This window comes from Homo sapiens, chromosome 12 (genome assembly GCF_000001405.40).
Source record: "Homo sapiens chromosome 12, GRCh38.p14 Primary Assembly".
NCBI classification, from domain to species: Eukaryota; Metazoa; Chordata; class Mammalia; order Primates; family Hominidae; genus Homo; species Homo sapiens.
Window position 1 is genome coordinate 64,963,868 of NC_000012.12, and position 20,366 is coordinate 64,984,233.

At 39.3% G+C, this 20,366-nt stretch overlaps 2 long non-coding RNA genes across 2 annotated transcripts in view, besides 1 other annotated feature; one reads left to right on the forward strand and one right to left on the reverse strand.

Moving 5' to 3' along the window:
• The window catches only part of LINC02389 (long intergenic non-protein coding RNA 2389), a 93,749-nt gene extending 80,094 nt beyond the window's left edge, over positions 1-13,655 (forward strand). Inside the window, exon 3 of the long non-coding RNA NR_033988.1 lies at positions 10,704-13,655. This is a non-coding gene — a long non-coding RNA (long intergenic non-protein coding RNA 2389). The remainder of the gene's footprint in view (positions 1-10,703) is intronic.
• The window catches only part of LINC02231 (long intergenic non-protein coding RNA 2231), a 71,447-nt gene that overhangs the window by 43,023 nt on the left and 8,058 nt on the right, over positions 1-20,366 (reverse strand). Inside the window, exon 2 of the long non-coding RNA NR_146276.1 lies at positions 18,541-18,655. This is a non-coding gene — a long non-coding RNA (long intergenic non-protein coding RNA 2231). The remainder of the gene's footprint in view (positions 1-18,540; positions 18,656-20,366) is intronic.
• Positions 4,117-4,346: an enhancer, noted in NCBI's record as "active region_6604". NCBI's record gives its function as "activates an Ori minimal core promoter by ATAC-STARR-seq in GM12878 lymphoblastoid cells {active_cell/tissue: GM12878}" and the evidence as "EXISTENCE:reporter gene assay evidence [ECO:0000049][PMID:35858748]".

Genomic DNA, 20,366 nt, shown 5'->3' on the forward strand with positions numbered 1-20,366 from the left:
GTGCTATAAATTTCCCTCTTAACACTGCTCTAGCTGCATCCCACAGATTCTGGTATGCTGTCTGTTTGTTCTCATTCGTTTCAAAGAACTTCTTGACTTCTGCCTTAATTTCATTATTTACCCAGGAGTCATTCAGGAGCAGGTTGCTCAATTTCCATGTAGTTGTGTGGTTTTGAGTGAATTTCTTAATCTTGAGTTCTAATTTGATTGTGCTGTCTGGGACTGTTATGATTTCAGTTCTTTTGCATTTGCTGAGGAGTGTTTTACTTCCGACTATGTGATCAATTATAGAGTAAGTGCCATGTGGCGATGAGAAGAATGTATATTCTGTTGTTTTGAGGTGCAGAGTTCTGTAGATATGTATCAGGTCCACTTGATCCAGAGCTGAGTTTAGGTCCCAAATATCTTTGTTAATTTTCTGTCTTAATGATCTGTCTAATATTGGCAGTGGGGTGTTAAAGTCTTCCACTATTATTGTGTGGGAGTCTAAGTAAGTCTCTTTGTAGGTCTCCAAGAACTTGCTTTATGAATCTGGGTGCTCCTGTATTGGGTGCATATATATTTAGGATAGTTAGCTCTTCTTGTTGAATTGAACCCTTTACCATTATGTGACGCCTTTCTTTGTCTTTTTTCATCTTTGTTGGTTTAAAGCCTGTTTTGTCAGACACCAAGATTACAACCCTTGCTTTTTTCTGTTTTCCATTTGCTTGGTAAATTTTCCTCCATCCCTTTATTTTGAGCCTATGTATGTCTTTGCACATGTGATGGGTCTCTTAAAGACAGCGTATCCATGGGTCTTGACTATCCAGCTTGCTATTCCTTGCTTTTTAACTGGGGCATTTAGCCCATTTACATTTAAGTTTAGTCTTGTTATGTGAATTTGATCCTGTCATCATGATGCTAGCTGTTATTTTTCAGAGTTATTTATGTAGTTGCTTCATAGCATCACTGGTCTGTGCACTTCAGTGTGTTTTCTGTTAATTCAACCATCTCAGCCTCAGCCCAGTTTAGTGTCTTTGCTGGTGAGGTGTTGCAGTCGTTTGGAAGAGAAGAGGCACTCTGGCTTTTTGAGTTTTCAGTGTTTTTGTATTGATTCTTTCTCATCTTTGTTGGCTTATCTACCTTCGATCTTTGAGGTTGCTGACCTTTGAATGAGGGTTTTGTGGGGTCTTTTTTGTTGATGTTGTTGTTGTTTTCTGTTTGTTTTTCTCTTTTAACAGGCCACTCTACTGCAGGGCTGCTACAGTTTGCTGGGGGTCTGTTCCAGACCCTAGTTGCCTTGGATTTCCCCATACCTGGAGGTTTCACCAGTGAAGGCTGCAGAACAGCAAAGATGGCAGCCAGCTCCTTCCTCTGGAAGCTCTGTCCCAGGGGGGTACTGACCTGTTGCTGGCCTGAATGCACCTGTAGGAGGTGTTCTGGAGACCCCTGTTGGGAGGTCTCACCCAGTTAGGAGGATATAGGATCAGGGACCCACTTAAAGAATCAGTATTGCTGCTTTTTGGTAGAGCAGGTGTTCTGTGTTGGAGGTGGATCCTTCCTTATCCAGACCATTTGTATTCTCCAAAGCCAGCAGGCTGGAATGGCTGAGGTGACCAAACTGCAGAGATGGTGGCTGCCCCTCCCCCTGGAGCTCCATCCCAGGGAGAGATCAGAATTCTTCCCATAGACCCTGGCTGGAGTGGCTGAAGCCCCTGCAGAGAGGTCCCACCCAGTGAGGAGGACTGGATTGAGGCTGCACTTAAAGAAGCAGTCTGGCCATGATCTGGCAAAGTGGCTGTGGTATGTTGTAGGGGACCCATCTTTCTCTGGACCATTTGTATTCTCCAGAGCCAGCAGGCTGGAATGGCTAAGTCTACTGAACTGCAGAGATGGTTGCCACCTATCCCCCTGGTTACTTGGACCTATCTCAGGCAGATTCCAGCCTGTTGCTGTTGGCTGGCTGGAATTCCAAGCCAGTGGGTCTTAACTTGTGAGGTGCTGTGGAAGTGGTGCCTGCAGAATGATGCTGCTTGGCTCCCTGGATTCAGCCCCCCTTCCTAGGGATATGTATGGATGGATTTCCCACCTTGCTGGGTATCCTGGGACCAGAGTATGTAAAACTCATGGGTCTCTGTATGTGCCTGAGCAGATGCTCTGCCGAGACTCCACACAGTTCTGTGTGTGCCTGAGCAGATGCTCTGCCAAGACTCCACACTGCTCTGTGTATTGGACCCAAGGCCCTGGTGGTGTGGGCTCATGTGAGGATCTCCTTATCTGTGGGTTACAAAGACCCATGAGAGAGTGTGGTTTCCCAGGTGGGGTTGCACAATCACTCACTGCTTCCCTTGCTGGAGGTGAGGGTTTCTTTGGCTCCATGCCACTCTCAGGTGGGCCATTGCCTGCCCTCCCTACTTTTCTTCATTCTCCATGGGTCAAGTTGTTTGCCGAGTAAGTCCCAATATGAGAACCTGGATATTGGAGTTGAAGGTGCTGGATTTACTCACTCACTTTCATTCCTTTCCGTGAGTAAAGATTTATATTAGTTTCAGTTTTATTTTCCTGTTGGATGCTGTTGCTTTGAATTTGCCTAGATCTCATGAAACCATGAGTCTATAAAGGTTATACTTCCAATCTGTCATAGTTTTATTTAATTTAGTGGTTCTCAACTTTGACCATACATTAGAATCCCCTGGGGAGCTTTAAAAAGAGCAGTATCTAGATCTCATCTCTAAAAATTCTGAATTTCATATGGAACCAAAAAAGAGCCTGAATAGCCAAAGCAGTCCTAGGCAAAAAGAACAAATCTGGAGGTATCACATTATCAGACTTCAAGCATACTATCAAGCAATAGTTACCAAAACAGCATGGTACTGGTATAAAAGTAGACACATAGACTGGTGGAACAGAATAGAGAACCCAGAAATAAGGCCAAATACTTAACAACCAACTGATCTTCAACAAAACATACAGAAACATAAATTTGGGAGAGGACACCCAATTTAATAAATGGTGCTGGGAAAACTCAATAGTCATATGCATAAGAATACAACTTTGGGTTCCTATCTCTCACCTTATACAAAAAATCAACTCAGGATGGATCAAAGACTTAGATGTAAGACCTAAAACCATAAAAATTCTAGAAGATAACCTAGGAAGAACTCTCCTGGACATTGGCCTAAGCAAAGAATTCATGACTAAACTCCTATAAGCAAATGCAACTAAAACCAAAATAAATAAATGAGACCTAATTAAACTAAAAAGCTTCTGCACAGTAAAAGAAACAATCCTCAGAGTAAACAGACAATCAACAGAATGGGAGAAAATATTTGCAAACTATTCATCCAACAAAGGACTAATATCCAGAATCTACAAGGAACTCAAACAAATCAGCAAGAAAAAAAAAATAATCCCAGCAAAAAGTGGGCAAATGACATGAATAGACATTTCTTAGACGAATACATACAAAAGGACCAACAAACATATGAAAAAGTGCTTAACATCACTAATCATCAGAGAAATGCAAATTGAAACTACAATGAGATACTACCTTACCCCTGCAAGAATGGCCATTATTAAAAGGTCAAAAAACAATAGATGTTGGCATGGGGGTGATGAAAAAGGAACATTTATACACTGCTGGTGGGAATGTAAATTAGTACAGCATTTATGGAAAACATTTTGTTATGGGATAAATATTTTTGTCTCCTCAAAATTGTTATTTTGAAGCCCTAAACCTCTGTGAGGCTGAATTTGGAGGTGGAGACTTTAAGGAAGTAATTAAGGTTAAATAAAGTCATAAGGGTGGGTCCTGATCACATAGGATTTTTGTCCTTTTAAGAAGAGACACCCCCAGCACTTTGGGAGGCTGAGGTGGGAGAATCATGAGGTCAGGAGATCGAGACCATCCTGGCTAACACGGTGAAACCCTGTCTCTACTAAAAATACAAAAAAAATTAGCCAGGAGCGGTGATGGGCGCCTGTAGTCCCAGCTACTCGGGAGGCTGGGGCAGGAGAATGGCGTGAAACCGGGAGGCAGAGCTTGCAGTGAGCTGAGATCACGCCACTGCACTCCAGCCTGGGCGACAGAGCGAGACTCTGTCTAAAAAAAAAAAAGAGAGAGACACCAGACAGTTTGTTCTCTCTCTGTGCACACACACCAAGGAAAGGGCATGTGAGGACACAGTGAGAAGGTGGCCGTCTGTAGGCCAGGAAGAGAGCCTCCACCAGAAACCAGATCAGCCAGAACCTTGATCTTGGACTTCTAGCCTCCAGAACTTTGAGGAAATAAATTCGTGTTTAAGCCACTAAGTGTGTGGTGTTTTGTATGGCAGCCGTAGTAGACTGATACACCTTTGGAAGAAGATAGGTGGCTATAAAGATATAAGAATGGTGATTTTCAGCTGGGCACAGTGGCTCACACCTATAATCTCAGCACTTTGGGAGGCTGAGGCAGATGGACTGCTTGAGCTTAGGAGTTTGAGACCAGCCTGGGGAACATGGTGAAATCCTGTCTCTACAAAAAAGAGAAAAACTAGCCAGCCATGATGGCATGCACCTGTAGTCCCAGCTACTCGGTGGGCTGAAGTGGGAGGATCGCTGGAGCCCAGGAGGTTGAGGCTGAGTGATCTGTGATTGCACCATTGCACTCTAACTTGGGCATCAAAGTGAGAGCTCATCTCTTTAAAAAAAAAAGTGATTTTCATGTAAAAATTGCCAGTCTCTAATACTATGCCAAAGGCTTTTATTGAAGTTCATTATCAGAATCTTAATTGGATAAAAATTTAAACCAGTATGAAATTTATATAAAAACATTTTTCTATATAAAAAGCAAGTTAGTATCATGTACAAGTTAACCTATTTAAATGTGGTTAGAATATTGCAGAAAGATAATGACTCTGCAGAGCCGTGGAAGGCTGTGGATGGAATTGCTCTGCATGGTAGAATAGATACATGTTAGGTAGGCAAAAGGACATTTAGAATTATTAAATTAAAATAAAATAGTTTTTGTTCATGCTTGAAGTAATATTACCTATAAAAATATATTATATTCCTTTTACTGTCTAGCACGCATTTGATTTTCCGTTTCTAATTTTTTTTTAATGTTTGGGAAACACTTCAAAATAATGGTTAAGAACTCAGGCTTTGTGGGGGTGTCTGCTTTGGGGGAGGATGGAGAAGAACACAAAAGACCTTCTTTCTCATAGAAACAGAAAAAAAACCCCAAAAACAAAAAACTAAAAATAAAAGTATTTTCTATGGGGCTAGCCAGGGGTGGTATTCACACAAGGAAGCCTTGATTAACTGAATTCCAGAGAGAAAGAGCCCTTTATAAGTGAGCAGAGAGCCAAGGCAGCTTTAAGCCTGGGGCAGCTTCCTGGTCTGGTTATGGGTAGGTAGGTCTGATAGAGAAACTTGACAGGGTGAGGGGGAAATAAGGTGGGCTTTGGACCAAGTAGGACTGTCAAGATAAATTAAGAGTCTGGAAAAAGCCCCCAAAGCCAGAGCAGATTATTGGGTTCAGCATTTCTTCCCTAAACCCTCCCCAACCATGAATTTTGCTGAGAAAGTTACAGTGGAGGAAGGGCTGGTAAGAAGAGAGAAATTGCTTAGTCATATGCATTCCTGTGGTATTTGAATTTCAGGTCTTTTCCTGGAGATGAATCCAAAGATGAACCAAAAATATATGAGACTGTAACCAAGCTTCTCCCAGTTCAGCTACTGAAAACATAAAAGGGCTATGACCTAGGAAGTTGAGAGCTGGGCTAATCACATGTAGTTTCAATTTAATTAAAACTGAAACCCAGACCCAGATCTACTGGACTCTAAAAGAAATATGAATGATCATTTCTCACCCCAATTACCAGATAGAGAAAAAGATTTCACTCTCTGGGGGGAAATAATTAAAACAAATCTAAATGTTATACTTCAGCCACCACTGTTCTTTTATACACAATATCTGGAATATAATAAAAAATTATGAAGCATGCTAAGAAACAAGAAAATAGGATCTATAATCAAAAGAAAAGTTAGTCAATAGAAACAGACCCATAGAATCCACAGTTATTGAAATTAATAGGACCTTAAAACAGCTATTGCATATATATTTTTAAAAGTTGTGGGGAAATGGATGTAATGGGTGCAAAGATTGGGTATTTCAGAAGAGAAATGACAAATTCCTAAAAAGAACAAAATAGAAATTCTAGAACTGAAAAATGAATGTCTGAATGAAACAATTATTAGATGGGCTTAACATAGGTTGAATACTGCAGAAGTAAAGATTTTGAAGTGAACTTAAAGACAGAAAACTGATGTGTCTGTATTAATCAGATAAAATATACTTTCAAGCAAGAGGTATTACCAAGTAAAGGACATTTTATAAAGATAGAAGGGAAAGGCATCAAGAAGAAAATAGTTCTAAATGTGTATGAAGTTCAAAATATATCAAGCAAAAATGGATAGAAATAGGTCACAGTGGCTCATGCCTGTAATCCCAGCACTTTGGGAGGCCAAGGCAGGCAGATCTCCTGAGGTCAGAAATTCAAGACCAGCCTGGCTAACATGGCGAAACGCTATCTCTACTAAAAATACAAAAATTAGCTGGGCATGATGGCGGGTGCCTGTAATCCCAGCTACCTGGGGGGCTCAGGCGGGAGAATCGCTTTAACCTGGGAGGTGGAGGTTGCAGTGTGCCGAGATCACATCATTGCACTCCAGCCTGGGCAACAAGAGTGAAATTCCATCTTGAAAAAAAAAAAAAAAAAAAAAGGATAGAAATAAAGAAATAGAAAAACCCAGAATTATAGTTGGAGATCTTAATTTATTTTTCTCTCAGTAATTGATAGTGTAAATAGACAACAATTTAGAAAGAAAATAGAAAATCTGAATCACCCTATCAATCATCTTAATTTAATTGACATTTATAGAACACTACCCCAAACAACTGCAGAATACTTATTCTTTTCAAATGCACTTAGAATATTTACCAAGATAGGACACGTGCAGAACTATGAAAAGAAGTCTCAATAGAGTTCAAAATACAGAATTTACACAGAGTATGTTCTTGGAACACAATAGAAAACAATAACATAAAGATATCTAGAAAAATCCCCAAATAGTTGTACATTTAACAACACATTTCAAAGAAGGAATCACAAGGAAAAAGAGAAAATATTTTGAACTCAATTATAGTTAAAATACAACATGTCAGAATTTGCCAGATGTAGTAAGGCAGTGCTTAAAGGGAGATTTATAGCTTTAAATGCTTGTATTAGGATAAAAAATGGCTTAAAATCAATGCTCTCATCTTCTACCTTAAGGAGCTACTAAAAGAAAAGGCAAATTAAACACAAAATAGGTAGAAGGAAATAAATAATAAAGAGCAGAAGTCAATGAAATAGAAAAATGAAGAGAGCCAACAAAGCCAAAAGTTGGTTAATTAGAAAAATAAATTTGTTTAAAAATTATGGTTGTGAAAAAAGAGAGAAAACATAAAATCTCAACATCAAAAGTGAAAAAGGCCAGGTGTAGTGGCTCACATCTGTAATCCCAGATGTGAGCTTTGGGAGGTCGAGGTGGGAGATCAACTGAGGTCAGGAGTTTGAGACCAGCCTGGCAACATGGTGAAACTCTGTCTCTATTAAAAATACAAAAATTAGGCCGGCCACGGTGGCTCATGCCTGTAGTCCTAGCATTTTGGGAGACCTAGGACGGTGGATTGCCTGAACTCAGGAGTTAGAGACCAGCCTGGGCGACATGGTGAAACCTGGTCTCTACTAAAAATACAAAAAATTAGCCGGGCGTGGTGGCAGGCACCTGTAATCCCAGCTACACAGGAGGCTGAGGCAGGAGAATCGCTTGAACCCAGGAGGTGGAAGCTGCAGTGAGCCAAGATAGCACCACTGCACTCCAGCCTGGGCAACAGAGCGAGACTCCATCTCAAACAAAAACAAAAACAAACAAAAAAAAGTGAAAGAGAGGAATTGCTAGAGATGCTACAGACATTAAAGCAAGAAAAGGGAATATTGCCATCAGTGTTACACCAATAAATTCAATGACTTTGAACAAACTCCTTGAGAAACACAAATGAACAAATCTGACAAGAAATAGAAAGTTTGAATAGCCTTGTATCTGTTGAGGAAATTATATTAGAAATTGTAAAACCCTCCCACAAACTATTACAGGGTCAAATGGTTTCCCTGGTGAATTCTCACAAACATTTAAGGAAGAAATAATGCCAACATTACACAAATTTATAAGCATTAGAAATTGTTATTATTATCAATATTGTTTTCATAAGTCTCCTCCCTCAGTTATCAGTTTCCATCTTAAAGCAGCAGAACTTTTCATAGTCTTCTAGAAAAACTCTGAATTCAATGGAAGATGACCTTGTAAATCCTATCCTACCTTTCCTATCTGTGTTCCTTTGAATTAGAATGATACGTGGTGTTTACAAAACACCCTATATTGCTGTTGCCTCTGACTAATCTTTTCTAATCTTTTTACACAAAATCACTTTGTTCCTCTGGGACTTGAGAAGAAGGGCTGCCAAGCCATGTCAAGGTGTCATCAAAAGCTTTTCAGGGTCTTATTACACCTGGTTTTCTGGTAATTTTTAAATAACAACTAACACTCTGTTTACTTCTTTCTTTTTTTTTTCTTTTTTTTTTTATTATACTCTAAGTTTTAGGGTACATGTGCACATTGTGCAGGTTAGTTAGTATTCTTGTATAAGCCCTTTCTGGAGCTGACAAAGAATTGTTCAGATTATGTGTTTCCTGCTTTAATTTGATTTTATATAATAGGCTCACATTAAAATTTGTATAGTAAATGGAAAATCTGTGAGCAATCACAATAATGGCTGGAATAACCTTTCCTTTTTTCCTGTCCTTCCTCAGAAATACTAAGAGCTGGTTAGACTATATCCTTCTGAAACATTCTTTATCACTGTTGTTTGATGTAGTTCCAGCCACATCTAACACAGGAGGCATCCAAACTTCTTTGAGTTGAAATGACTGAGGATGCACTTTTCAGAGACCCCAGGAAACTGGCAGTGTTGACTGAAGAATACTCACAGCAAGAATGAGTGGCTAAGCCATGTCAGTGATGAGGCACCTACTGCTCTGGATACCTCTACCATGGTTTCTTTACTCTCTCCCCAGCAGCATAAATCTGAATGTTTTAGACCTCAAGATGTCTGGCCTCAGTAAAAAATAGTTTTCTGATGGACTGTGATATTCTACTCTTAGTAAAGACTAAGCTGCTATAACTGAGAAACTCTAAAATAGAATAGCTTTTTATTAGTCTGTTCTCATGCTGCTACTAAAGACATACCTGAGACTGTATAATTTATAAATGAAAGAGGTTTAATGGACTCACAATTCAGCATAGTTAGGAGGCCTCACAATCACGACAAAAGGCAAAAGAAGAGCAAAGTCATGTCTTACACGGCAGCAGGCAGGAGAGGGCTTGTGCAGGGGAACTCCCATTTATAAAACCATCATGTCTTGTGAGACATATTCACTACTACAAGAACAGTATGGGGGTAATCACCCCCATGATTCAATTATCTCCACCCTTGACAGGTGGGAATTATTACAATTCAAGGTGAGATTTGGGTGGGGACACAGCAAAACCACATCAGCTTTAATAAGATAAAAGTTTATTTTTCTCTATCTGGTTGTGGAAGTCCTTTGTATAAAGTTATTTAAGTTCTGGTTTTTTTTTTTATATTTTTGAGTAAACATACATTGAGTATCTATTCTGTTCTAGGTGAAATGCTGGGGACTGGGAACAATCAAATTAATAAGTGTTCTTGTCCTCAAGAAGCTCAGGATCACATTTTGTGTGGGTGTGCATGCATGCATGTTTTTGGGGGACAGGTGTTACAAATAAATAGCCTTTAAGTGTGATAATATTATATTGTTTACTGAGTGCAGATTTTAATGTCACCACACACACACACACACACACACACACACACAAATGGTAACTAATGGATGTGTCAGTTAATGTAACTGGTAATCAGAACACTATGTATATCAAACCATGATGTACAACTTGAATAATATATAATTTGTATTCATCAATGAAATATTTAAAAATAAAAAAGAGAATAAAGGTGCAGTGGAGGTAGAAGGAAATGAAAGCCAAGTAAGGAATTAAAGACAGATCTTCAAAGAGATCTCAAGGAGATTAAAGTATTATTTTTATTATAATACATGTAATAATAAGTCATCTGTTCCTGAGAAGTATCTCTGTTTTCACCCTGTTTTGGCTTGAAAGCAGGTATCAACAATTCTTTGCAGTCATCTTAAAGAATATTTCTTACTATCCAGACAATAAGACCGGGTCCAGTGGCTCACACCTATGAGCACTTTGGGAGGCTGAGGTGGGTGGATCACGAGGTCAGGAGTTTGAGACCAGCCTGACCAACATGGTGAAGCCCTGTTTCTACTAAAAATACAAAAATTAGCCAGGCGTGGTGGTGTGTGCCTGTAATCCCAGCTACTCAGGAGGCTGAGGCAGGAGAATTGCTTGAACTCCGAAGGCAGAGGTTGCAGTGAGCCGAGATTGTGCCGTGAACTCCAGCCTGGGCGACAGAGTGAGACTCTGTCTCAAAAAAAACTACTATAGCCAGCAATATTCATTTTACTGAATATTTTGTAAGGGATAAGGGCAATTAGCATTGCATGGCTCATTCCACTATTATTCCTCTTTTTCAGCTCTCCAATCCTGAAGTCAAAATGGAATGCATCTCTGCTCTTCCTCTGGGCATCATCTAATTTTTTTGTTCTTGTTTTCCTTGTGCTGGAATCTACAACACCCTCTCCTAGCCCCTCAACCAGCCTTTCTTCTGCAGAGCAACTTAGTTCTAATTAGCAACTACAAACCTATTCACCTACATCCAAGAGTTCAGTAGTGTCTTTTAAGTATGTAACAGGCAATTCTTTTACATTTTATTGAGATGACTACTTTAAAAAAATTGGTTGCTACCCAGAACTGTTTAGAACATTGCTTGCTTTAGGTAAGTGAGTGAAGCAAGATGTGATAACATAGGGCTGGGGGACTAGAGTTGGGTAATATGGTAGCACATGATTTTGTTACTTGAGATTGCCTGTAATTGTAGACATCAGTGAGCAGGGTGATATGAACCTCACAGGGGCTCTTGAAGTTCTGCTTCTTCCCTATTCCTTAATGCAATACAATATTTAGGTTCATCTTTTCAATTTTCCTGGAGAAATTAAATACTGTGCCATAATAAAAAAATAAGTAATTTGAAAGTAAAGGAAGGGCATGAATGGAGAGAAGGCAGGAAAACATTCTAGGTTGGAAAAAATGGCAGAAGTAATGTTGGGACATTGGAGTGATGGTGGAGGTGGGAATAGAGTCTAGGATCTCTTCATCCCATACTATGCATCTATCTTCACAAAATTAGTATGGCCAAATATTAAATCAGCTCATTTCTGGTTGGGAAAAGTAGGGTGAATGTGCCTTTCTAGCTGTCCTTGAGATGTAAATCTCCTGTAACATAGCTTCCCTAGTGGTCACCTCAAAGGCTTTGTTCTCTCCAGGATAGATGCTACAGAGTGGGACAGTACTTGGTGTGTGTGTATCTCAATTTTTTTTTAACATGACAAATTGAACTAGGGGCAAGAGAAGGATAGACAGAGGAGCCTATGATGGGGTGGTGGATACTAAATATTTTCCAGGTGTAAGGAGCAGAGGAGGAAAAGGGAGACTGGGTAACCCTTTTTCAGACCATCATTTAGTCCATTTTATGTTGCAAATATTAGCAAACCTACTCCAGCTTTCTTAAACAGTAGGGTTTTCATTACAACATAGTTAAGAGAGTAGGCTTAGGAGTAAGATTGCTTGATCCTGAGTAAGTTACTTAATCTTGGTGTCTCAGTTTCTTCATTCCAGTTAAGTAAATATATTTAAATTAAATTATATTAGTTAGTAAATGTAAAGCACACAGAAAAGTGTTTGGCTTCTGGTGAGCTTTCAATAAGTGTTAACTATTATTTGTTATTATTATTTTAACAAAACCAACCTCCAAAACCTATGAAGTCAGTTTACAGAAAGCCACCAGGAAAAGGGAAATAAGAAGATTCTTTACTTTGCTGTCATTTGATACACTTAGCATTTTAAATGACTATATGTACAATATTAACCATGCCTTTCCACAAAACTATGTGTGTGCATATGAATTACAGGGCTTTCATTTGAAACTGAACTATCTGTGTTTGTAGTCACTTTAATCATACAACAAACCTACAAAATATTTAAGCATAAATTATCATGATGACTAAATATGGAAAAGCTTCTGTTACCAAAACCTGCACCCAAATTGACTGCACAGGATGGGTAATTGGATGGTGGTGTAAAGAATGCTCATGAGGACTAGGCTGCTGCTAATTAGATCTTCTATGCTATTTAAATGTTCTCCAAGCTTCAGGGAGTGCCCTGAAGGCAGTTGGACATTAGCCTTGTGGTTTTTGAGGGTAACCTACAGTTTGTCAGCACAGGGGTGGAGGTGAGCACCATGGGACTTTTCCCAGGCTGCTGGTTAACATACTGTGGTTTCAATCCTTTAAGCCAATAAATGGAGGAGAGAGAAAGAAGGCAGACTGAAATTAGAGGAAAAGAGACAAAGAAAGGAAAAGTGGAAGTAAGAATAATATTCATGAAATGTCTTCTTTGGGCCAGATATTTTTTTAGGAACTTTCACATATTGTGCTTACATCAACTCTGTGGGAAATGTATGATTATACTATCCTCATTTGTAACAGACATTGTTGGGTGCCTATATAACATATAACAGCTATTTTTCTTCATTTTTTTCTTGCTGATGGCGCTTTTTTTTTTTTAGTGTTTACTTCCCATACAAAACTTATGTCTCCATGTCTCCATCCTTCAGCAATAGGGGTAATTCTGAAAGGTCATTGTTTTGCAATTGCCCTTGAAAGGAAATTCTTGGACATAACAACAGATAAGATTCTAGCCAATGAAAGGTGATGAGAAGGTTGCTGAGAAGTTTCTGAGAAAGGTTTCTTTATTCTTTAACAAATACCCTGGAAAGAGACAGGCCTTCTGCTGCTGTTCATGGTTGTACCTGCACAGGATGCCTGAAAAGGAGTAACCGTGGGGTCAGAAGAGGAGCCAGCGTGAGGACAAAGCAGATACACTGAAGTACCACCTGTCACTGAATTTTTGTGCAAGAGTATAAACATTCTCATTGTTTAATCTTTCTGTGGGAGACGCTTTACTATGTGTAGCAAAGTCATTCTAACTGACATACCATTTTCCATTGTATGAGAAAACTGATGTACAGAAAGGTTAAGAAACTTGCCTGCATTTGCATGCATAATGAGGAGTGGAGAGAACAGGTTGTGCCTTCTAATATACAGGCAAGATATGTCTCTTTTAAACAGCACATACAGACACACTCCAAAATGACAATTTCCATCATTTTTTAAAAATTAAATGAGACAAAGACTCTAAAACTATTTAAATAACATGTACATTACTGTCTTGGGATTTATTTTTGTTTCAGCTCTATTGAGATATAGTTGACAAATAAAATGGTATGAATTTAAGGTGTACAATGTGATGATTTGATGTATGTATATATTGTGAAAAGACCAAAATAAAGTCAGTTAACATATCTATTACTTCACCTTGTTATCATTTTTTTTGCGGTGAGAACATTTAATATCTGCTCTCTTAGGAAATATCAAATATACAACACAGTATTGTTAATTATAGTCTGTGTTCCCTTTGACCAATGTCTCCCCATTTCCCTGACTTCCTAGCCCCTGCTAATCAACATTATATTTTGTTTCTATAAGTTTGACTTTTTCTGGTTCCACATATATGTGAGATTATACAGCATTTGTCTTTCTCTATTTGACTTTTTAAAAAATTTTTTTATTTGTTGGGTTTTTAAAATTATACTTTAAGTTCTAGGGTACATGTGCACAACGTGCAGGTTTGTTACATGGGTATACATGTGCCATGTTGGCTTGCTGCACCCATCAATTCGTCATTTACATTAGGTATTTCTCCTAATGCTATCCCTCCCCCATTCCCCCTCCCCTGGACAGGCCCTGGTGTGTGACATTTCCAGCCCTGTGTCCATGTGTTTTCATTGTTCAACTCCCACCTGTGAGTGAGAACATGTGGTGTTTGGTTTTCTGTCCTTGTGATAGTTTGCTGAGAATGATGGTTTCCAGCTTCATCCATGTCCCTGCAAAGGACATGAACTCATCCTTTTTTATGGCTGCATAGTGTTCCATGGTGTATATCTGCCACATTTTCTTAATCCAGTCTATCATTGATGGACATTTGGGTTAGTTCCAAGTCTTTGCTGTTGTGAATAGTGCCGCAATAAACACACATGTGCATGTGTCTTTATAGTAGCATGATTTATAATCCTTTGGGTATATACTCAGTAATGGGATTGCTGGGTCAAATGGTATTTCTGGTTCTAGATACTTGAGGAATTGCCACACTGTCTTCCACAATGGTTGAACTAATTTACACTCCCACCAACCATGTAAAGCATTCCTATTTCTCCACATCCTCTCCACCATCTTTTGTTTCCTGATGTTTTAATGATCGCCATTCTAACTGGTGTGAGATGGTATTTCATTGTGGTTTTGATTTGCATTTCTCTGAAGACCAGTGATGATGAGCATTTTTTCATGTGTCTGTTGACTGCATAAATGTCTTCTTTCGAGAAGTGTCTGTTCATATCCTTTGCCCACTTTTCGATAGGGTTGTTTGTTTTTTCTTGTAAATTTGTTTAAGTTCTTTGTAGATTCTGGATATTAGCCCTTTGTCAGATAGGTAGATTGCAAAAATTTTCTCCTATTCTGTAGGTTGCCTGTTCACTCTGATGGTAGTTTCTTTTGCTGTGCAGAAGCTCTTTAGTTAGATCTCATTTGTCTATTTTGGCTTTTGTTGCCATTGCTTTTGGTGTTTTAGTCATGAAGTCTTTGCCCATGCCTATGTCCTGAATGATAGTGCCTAGGTTTTTTTCTAAGGTTTTTATGGTTTTAGGTCTTACATTTAAGTCCTTAATCCATCTTGAATTAATTTTTGTATGAGGTGTAAGGAAGGAATCCAGTTTCAGCTTTCTACATATGGCTAGCCAGTTTTCCTAGCACCATTTATTAAATAGGGAATCCTTTCCTCATTGCTTGTTTTTGTCAGGTTTGTCAAAGATCAGATGGTTGTAGATGTGTGGTGTTATTTCTGAGGCCTCTGTTCTGTTTCATTTGTCTATATATCTGTTTTAGTACCAGTACCATGCTGTTTTGGTTACTGTAGCCTTGTAGTATAGTTTTAAGTCAGGTAGTGTGACGCCTCCAATTTTGTTCTTTTGGCTTAGGATTGTCTTGGCTATGTGGGCTCTTTTTTGGTTCCATATGAACTTTAAAGTCGTTTTTTCCAATTCTATGAAGAAAGTCATTGGTAGCTTGATGGGGATGGCATTGAATCTATAAATTACCTTGGGCAATATGACCATTTTCACAATATTCTTCCCATCCATGAGCATGGCATGTTCTTTCATTTGTTTGTGTCCTCTTTTATGTCATTGAGCAGTGGTTTGTAGTTATCCTTGAAGAGGTCCTTCATATCCCTTGTAAGTTGGTTTCCTAGGTATTTTATTCTCTTTGTAGCAGTTGTGAATGGGAGTTCACTCATGATTTGGCTCTCTATTATTGGTGTAGAGGAATGCTTGTGATTTTTGCACATTGATTTTGTATCCTGAGACTTTGCTGAAGTTGCTTATCAGCTTATGGAGATTTTGGGCTAAGATGATGGGGTTTTCTAAATATACAATCATGTCATCTGCAAACAGGGACAATTTGACTTCCTCTTTTCCTAATTGAATACCATTTATTTCCTTCTCTTACCTGATTGCCCTGGCCAAAACTTCCAACACTATGTTGAATAGGAGTGCTGAGAGAGGGCATCTTTGTCTTGGGCCAGTTTTCAAAGGGAATGCTTCCAGTTTTTGCCCATTCAGTATGATATCGGCTGTGGGTTTGTCGTAAATAGCTCTTATTATTTTGAGATATGTTCCATCAGTACCTAGTTTATTAAGAGTTTTTAGCATAAAGGGGTGTTGAATTTTGTCAAAGGACTTTTCTGCATCTATTGAGATAATCATGTGGTTTTTGTCATTGGTTCTGTTTATGTGATGGATTATGTTTATTGATTTGCATGTGTTGAACCAGCCTTGCATCCCAGGGATGAAGCTGACTTTATCATGGTGGATAAACTTTTTGATGTGCTGCTCGATTCAGTTTGCCAGTATTTTACTGAGGATTTTTTCATTGATGTTCATCAGGGATATTGGTCTAAAATTCTCTTTTTTTGTTGTGTCTATGCCAGGCTTTGGTATCAGGATGATGCTGGCCTCATAAAATGAGTTAGGGAGGATTCCCTCTTTTTCTGTTGATTGGAATCATTTCAGAAGGAATGGTACCAGCTGCTCTTTGTACTTCTGGTAGAATTTGGCTGTGATTCCGTCTGGTCCTGGACTTTTTTTGGTTGGTAGGCTATTACTTATTGCCCCAATTTCAGGACCTGTTATTAGTCTATTCAGAGATTGAACTTCTTCCTGGTTTAGTCTTGGAAGGGTGTATGTGTCCAGGAATTTATCCATTTCTTCTAGATTTTCTAGTTTATTTGCCTAGAGGTGTTTATAGTATTCTCTGATGGTAGTTTGTATTTCTGTGGGATCGGTGGTGATATCCCCTTTGTCATTTCTTATTGTGTCTATTTGATTCTTCTCTCTTTTCTTCTTTATTAGTCTTACTAGCTGTCTATCTATTTTGTCGATCTTTTCCAAAAAGCAGCTCCTGGATTCATTGATTTTTTTGAAGGGTTTTTTTTTGGTCTCTATCTCCTTCAGTTCTACTCTGATCTTAGTTATTTCTTGCCTTCTGCTAGCTTTTGAATTTGTTTGCTCTTGCTTCTCTCGTTCTTGTAATTGTGATGTTAGGGTGTCGATTTTAGATCTTTCCTGCTTTCTCCTGTGGGCATTTAGTGCTATAAATTTCCCTGTATATACTGCTTTAAATGTGTCCCAGAGATTCTGTTATGTTGTGTCTTTGTTCTCATTGGTTTCAAAGAACATCTTTATTTCTGCCTTCATTTTGTTATTTACCCAGTAGTCATTCAGGATCAGGTTTTTCAGTTTCCATGTAGTTGTGTGGTTTTGAGTGAGTTTCTTAATCCTGAGTTTTAATTTCATTGCACTGTGGTCTGAGAGACAGTTTGTTGTGATTTCTGTTCTTTTACATTTGCTGAGGAGTGCTTTACTTCCAATTATGTGGTCAATTTTAGAATAAGTATGATGTGGTGCTAAGAAAGATGTATGTTCTGTTGATTTTGGGTGGAGATTTCTATAGGTGTCTATTAAGTCCACTTGGTGCAGAGCTGAGTTCAAGTCCTGGATATCCTTGTTATCCTTCTGTCTCGTTGATCTGTCTAATATTGACAGTGGGGTGTTAAAGTCTCCCATTTTTATTGTGTGGGAATCTAAGTCTCTTTGTAGGTCCCTAAGGACTTGCTTTATGAATCTGGGTGCTCCTGTATTAGGTGCATCTATATTTAGGATAATTAGCTCTTCTTGTTGAATCCCCTTACCATTATGTTATGGCCTTCTTTATCTCTTTTAATCTTTGTTGGTGTAAAGTCTGTTTTATCAGAGACTAGGACCGCAACCCCTGCTTTTTTTCCTTCTAACCCTCAGGTCCCTCAGCTGCAGGTCTGTTGGAGTTGCTGGACGTCTACTCCAGACCCTGTTTGCCTGGGTGTCATCAGCAGAGGCTGCAGAACAGCAAATATTGCTGCCTGATCCTTCCTCTGGAAGCTTTGTTCCAGAGGGGCCTGTATGAGGTGTCTGTTGGCCCCTACTGAGAGGTATCTCTTAGTCAGGCTACACGGGGGTCAGGGACCTACTTGAAGAGGCAGTCTGTCTGCTCTCAGAGCTCAAATGCTGTGCTGGGATAACCACTGCTCTCTTCAGAGCTGTCACACAGGGACGTTTAAGTCTGCAGAAGTTGTCTGCTGCCCTTTGTTCTGCTCCTGCCCCCAGAGGTGGAGTCTAGAGAGGCAGTGGGCCTTGCTGAGCTGCGGTGGTCTCCACCCAGTTTGAGCTTCCTGGCAGCTTTGTTTACCTACTCAAGCCTCAGCAATGGTGGACACCCCTCTCCCTGCCAGGCTGCAGCTTTGCAGGTCGATCTCAGACTGCTTCGCTGGCAGTGAGCAAGGCTCTGTGGGCATGGGACCCACTGAGCCAGGTGTGGGAGGGAATCCCCTGGTCTGCTGGTTGCTAAGACTATGGGACCAATGCAGTATTTTGGCAGGAGTGTACCATTCCTCCAGGTACAGTCTGTCATGGCTTCCCTTGGCTAGGAAAGGGAAATCCCCTGACCCCTTGTGCTTCCTGGGTGAGGTGTGATGCCCTGCCCTGCTTCAGCTCACCCTCTGTGGGCTGCACCCACTGTCCAACCAGTCCCAATGAGATGAACAAGTTACCTTAGTTGGAAATGCAGAAATCATCCGCCTTCTGCATCAATCTTGCTGGGAGCTGCGGACTGGAGCTGTTCCTATTCAGCCATCTTGGAAGCCTCTGACGATTTCCATCTTTGAACTGGAAATTTAATCCATGTATACTTATTGTAATTACTGATATATCTGTTTTTATTGCTTTGGTTATTATTTCACTTTGTTCCAATTTTTGTGTTTTTTAAAATATGCTTTTTACTTAAGAAAATAGACATCTATATCTTCCCCTAATCAAGGTAAGAATTCTACATACTCTTAGAATCATAAAACTCTCTTCCTGCTTTCCTCCATCCCAATTCTACCATGTCAATATTATCTAGAAATTTAATTATAACTTATTTGGATAAAAGACATAGTGACAGATTCTTAATGCTCAGGTTTTTGGTTTTGCTTTTGTTTTTGTTTTTAATCTGGATAGCAATAGTCACAATAATACCGTATTTTGTTTAATGCTGAATTCATTTAACTTTTGTATCTAACAAACATTTAAAAACATATACAATAATTTAAAGAATATTTTGTAACATACTTAAACCTACTAACGTATCAGCAACAGGGATTTAATTAGTTTTTGTTGTTGTTGCTGTTATCCTGTTATTTCTTCCTTCTTGGTTTTATAGCTTCTGCAAACAAGCTTCTCTTACTCTATGTCTCCACCAAATGAGGTACTTCTGCATCTACTTCTGCTCACAGAACTGCCTAGGTGGTCCACCAAGGTGAGAAGATTCCTACTATGTCACCAGAGTATCTCTGGTTTTTGTGTTTAGACAATGGATAATTTAATTTTTTGATGTCTTCTTTATGGAAGACACAGTGGATAAATGGGACAACATTTTAGAAGAGTTAGTCCAGAGCCTGAGCAGTTAAGCAGTGGCTGAACTGTCTCTGCTTTAGAAGGGTTTACGAACTTGAGAGGGAAAACACTGCAGTAGATTGCAAAGGATCTAACTGAAATTTAGTATTTCCTTAAGTTATAAATATAGTGTATTAGCTGTTCCTGCATAGAAAATAATCACAAACATCTTAGTTGCATACAAAAACAAACCTTCCTTCCTTCCTTCCTTCCTTTCTTTCTTTCTTTCTTTCTTTCTTTCTTTCTTTCTTTCTTTCTTTCTTTCTCTCTTCTCTCTCTTTCTCTCTTTCTTTCTTTCTTTCTCTCTTTCTTTCTTTCTCTCTTTCTCTCTTTCTCTCTTTCTTTCTTTCTTTCTTTTTCCTTCTTTGCCTCACTGTCACCCAGGCTGGAGTGCAGGGGTGCAATCTCTGCTCACTGCAACCTCTGCCTTGTGGGTTCAAGCGATTCTCCTGCCTCAGCCTCCTGAGTAGCTGGGATTACAGGTACCACCATGCCCGTCCTTCTTTCTTATGCATCTATGTATAGGTTGGCTGGAATAGGTCTTCAGATCTCAGGTAGGCTTCCTCATGCATTGAGGAACTGTTTAATCTAGAGTGGCCTCAGCTGGTTGATTCTGTCTTTTACTGCAGTTTTGTAGGTTGGCTAGGCAGTTCTGTGCCAAGTATCTTTCATCCTCCTTAGACCAGTGGGCTAGTCTGGGCATGCTTTTCCCATGGTAAAGGAAAATACATTAAGAGCCGTGAAAAAACATGAGGCCTCTTAAGTCCTAGGCTCAGAACTGGCATGTGATCACTTCTGACCATATTTATTTGGCCAAAGCAAGTTACATGGCTGAGTCCAAAGCCTGGGGTTGGAGGAATACATTCTACATTTGCAGAAGGAATTACCAAGTCACTAAGTAAAAAGTATGAATACAAAGGCAAAACTATGGAGACAGTAAACG